The sequence below is a fragment of the Homo sapiens genome, chromosome 17 (assembly GCF_000001405.40).
Source record: "Homo sapiens chromosome 17, GRCh38.p14 Primary Assembly".
Taxonomy (NCBI): Eukaryota; Metazoa; Chordata; class Mammalia; order Primates; family Hominidae; genus Homo; species Homo sapiens.
Genome location: NC_000017.11, coordinates 43,035,232 through 43,038,014, shown reverse-complemented (window position 1 = coordinate 43,038,014; position 2,783 = coordinate 43,035,232). Strand labels below are relative to the sequence as shown.

At 50.1% G+C, this 2,783-nt stretch overlaps 1 annotated feature.

Moving 5' to 3' along the window:
- Positions 1,429-1,723: a silencer, noted in NCBI's record as "tiled region #8675; K562 Repressive non-DNase unmatched - State 23:Low". NCBI's record gives its function as "represses a minimal TATA promoter and a strong SV40 promoter by Sharpr-MPRA in K562 cells {active_cell/tissue: K562}" and the evidence as "EXISTENCE:reporter gene assay evidence [ECO:0000049][PMID:27701403]".

Sequence of the window (2,783 nt, the reverse complement as noted above, 5' to 3'; positions counted from 1 at the left end):
CCAAATGACAGTGTATATTAGCAGGAGAAACTCAGGAGGCTCTTCCCAGCTGTTAGGCTATACGACTCTGGAATAAGCTAGTACAAATTAGGTAGAAAGTCTAGGATTGTTCCTAGAGCCTGGTGGCGGGAGGTCTTTCCTGGAGGCAAAGGACTGTGGGGCTGTCTCAGGGCCTTCTGCAGCTGCTAAAGTGAGAAGCCTGCCGACGGGATCATCCCCAAGCCCACAGAAGCTCTGAAAGCTATGGAAACCAAGATCTGTACAGGAGCCACTTCTGGTTTCTAATGCCTGAGAGATTAAAATGGAAAAAAAAATTCCCATGGAAATTCAAGAATGCAAGAATGTTCTGGGGCCAGGCACGGTGGCTCATGCCTGTAATCCCAGCACTTTTGGAAGGCCGATCACCTAAGATCAGAAGTTCAAGACCAGCCTGGTCAACATGGTGAAACCCCGTCTCTATTAAAAATAGAAAATTAGCTGGGCGTGGTGGTGTGCACCTGTAATCCCAGCTACTCAGGAGGCTGAGGCCAGAGAATCACTTGAACCCTGGAGCCAGAGGTTGCAGCGAGCTGAGATCATGCCATTGCACTCCAGCCCAGGCAACAAGAGCAAAACTCCATCTCAAAAAAAAAAAAAAAAGTTCTACAACGTGGCCACAGGTCCGTTCTGGCTAAGGCAGTGATGTCCCCCTCCCACCAAAGCCCAAACCTTCTAACATCATCCTAAAGTGTGGGAATCACCTCTTCACCTCAGGCCAGCTCTGGGCTTTTCTCAGCCTATTCATCAGCCTCCATTAGTCCTCAGCTCTGCTGAGGCCTCAGCAGCTTCCCAGTCCCACTGAAGGCTGTGGGGCATAGAATGGGCAGAGGGCAGGCCGGGCGTGGTGGCTCAAGCCTGTAATCCCAGCACTTTGGGAGGCCGAGGCGGGCAGATCACGAGGTCAGGAGATCGAGACCATCCTGGCTAACACGGTGAAACCCCATCTCTACTAAAAATACAAAAAATTAGCCAGGCGTGGTGGCAGGTGCCTGTAGTCCCAGCTACTTGGTAGGCTGAGGCAGGAGAATGGCATGAACCCGGGAGGCGGAGCTTGCAGTGAGCCAAGATCCTGCCACTGCACTCCAGCCTGGGCGACAGAGCAAAACTCCGTCTCAAAAAAAAAAAAAAAAAGAAAGAATGGGCAGAGGGCATAAAACCTGAGTCCAGAGGTGGTGGTTGCACAACATTGTGAATGCACTAAATGCCCCTGAATTGTACATTTTAAAATGGCTAATTGTATGTTATGTGAATTTCAATCGATTTTTAAAAAAAATAAAACTGAGCCACCTTTGGGGTGGGGAGAGGAGCTGGGCCAGGCTCTGAGGATTTGAGGGTTGAAACTCCTTGCAGGGAGTGAAATGAACGACAATGGGGAGGCCAGTCTGGGCCTCCCAACTCCTCCTCCAGGACCAGATGGGAACTGGGGCTAGGGAGAAAGGCCCAACTGGGGCGGCGCCGGGCTCTGGGCAGAAGAGAAGCACTCAGTGAATGTGAGGAGGCTGCAGCCGTCGGCTCATTTGCATCATAAGTGATTGGTTTTCCCTGCTCGTCCCTCATCAGGACACAATGGACAGTTGTTTGCTGGCGCAGCAGATCCATTTACCAAGGGAGAGAGGAGACAGAGCACAAGTGACCGATGGGTAATAGTGTTGAAGGGTGGGCAGCCGCCTCCCCTCCCCTGTGCTCCCAGGCCACTGGGACTCTTGTTCTCACACAATGAGAAGGGACCTTAGAGAGCAAATCACCGCTTCACTTTATAGAAGAAGAGACTGAGGTGCTGAGAGGAGGTGAGCCTTGCTGTGGTCAAACAGCAAGAACATAGCAAAACTAAGCATTTTAAACTCTAACCTCTGGATCCTTTTTCTTTGAGACAAGGTCTCGCTCTGTCACCCAGGCTGGAGTAGTACAGTGGCACAATCTCAGCTCACTGCAACCTCTACCTCCCAGGCTCAAGTGATCCCCCCACCTCAACTTTCTGTGGGCCACGACACCTGGCTAATTTTTTGTAGAGACAAGGTCTCACTGTGTTGCCCACATTTTTCTCGAACTCCTGGGCTCAAGTGATCCTCCAGCCTTGGCCTCCCAAAGTGCTAGGATTACAGGTGTGAGCCACAGCACTGGGCCTGTTTGGTTTTTGTTTTGTTTTGTTTTTTTGAGATAGGGTTCCACTCTGTCATCCAGGCTAGAGTGCAGTGGTATGATCACTGCTCACTACAGCCTCACACTCCTGGTTCAAGTGATCCTCCCACCTCAGCCTCCTGAGTAGCTAGGACTATAAGTATGTGCCACCACGCTTAGCTAATTTTTATTTCTTTTATTTTTTCTAGAAACAGTGTTTCCCTATGTTGCCCAGGCTGGTCTCACCTGGGTTCAAGTGATCCTCCCACCTCAGCCTCCTGAATAGCTGGGATTACAAGTGTGAGCCACTGCACCAGGCCTGGATTCTAAACTGTCATTTGAGGGTTCACTTCGTTTCCCCATAATACCTTCTCTGTGCCCTTATTCCCATCTCTGTGGTCTCCTGTTCCCGGGGCCTTCGTTTCCATCATTCTGTCTCCTGGGTCTATTTCTTTTTCTCTGTTTCTGTTCCTCTCTGTATCTTTTCCTCTTGGTTTCCAGGCAGCTAGGATAATTACTAGACTTTTAATTAACCCCTGCCCTAACAAAGGTGGGTCTGGCATGAGGCAGCAATTTAGCAAGTGTCTTGGTTTGTTTTGGGGATAGGTGGGGAGAGAAAAATATGT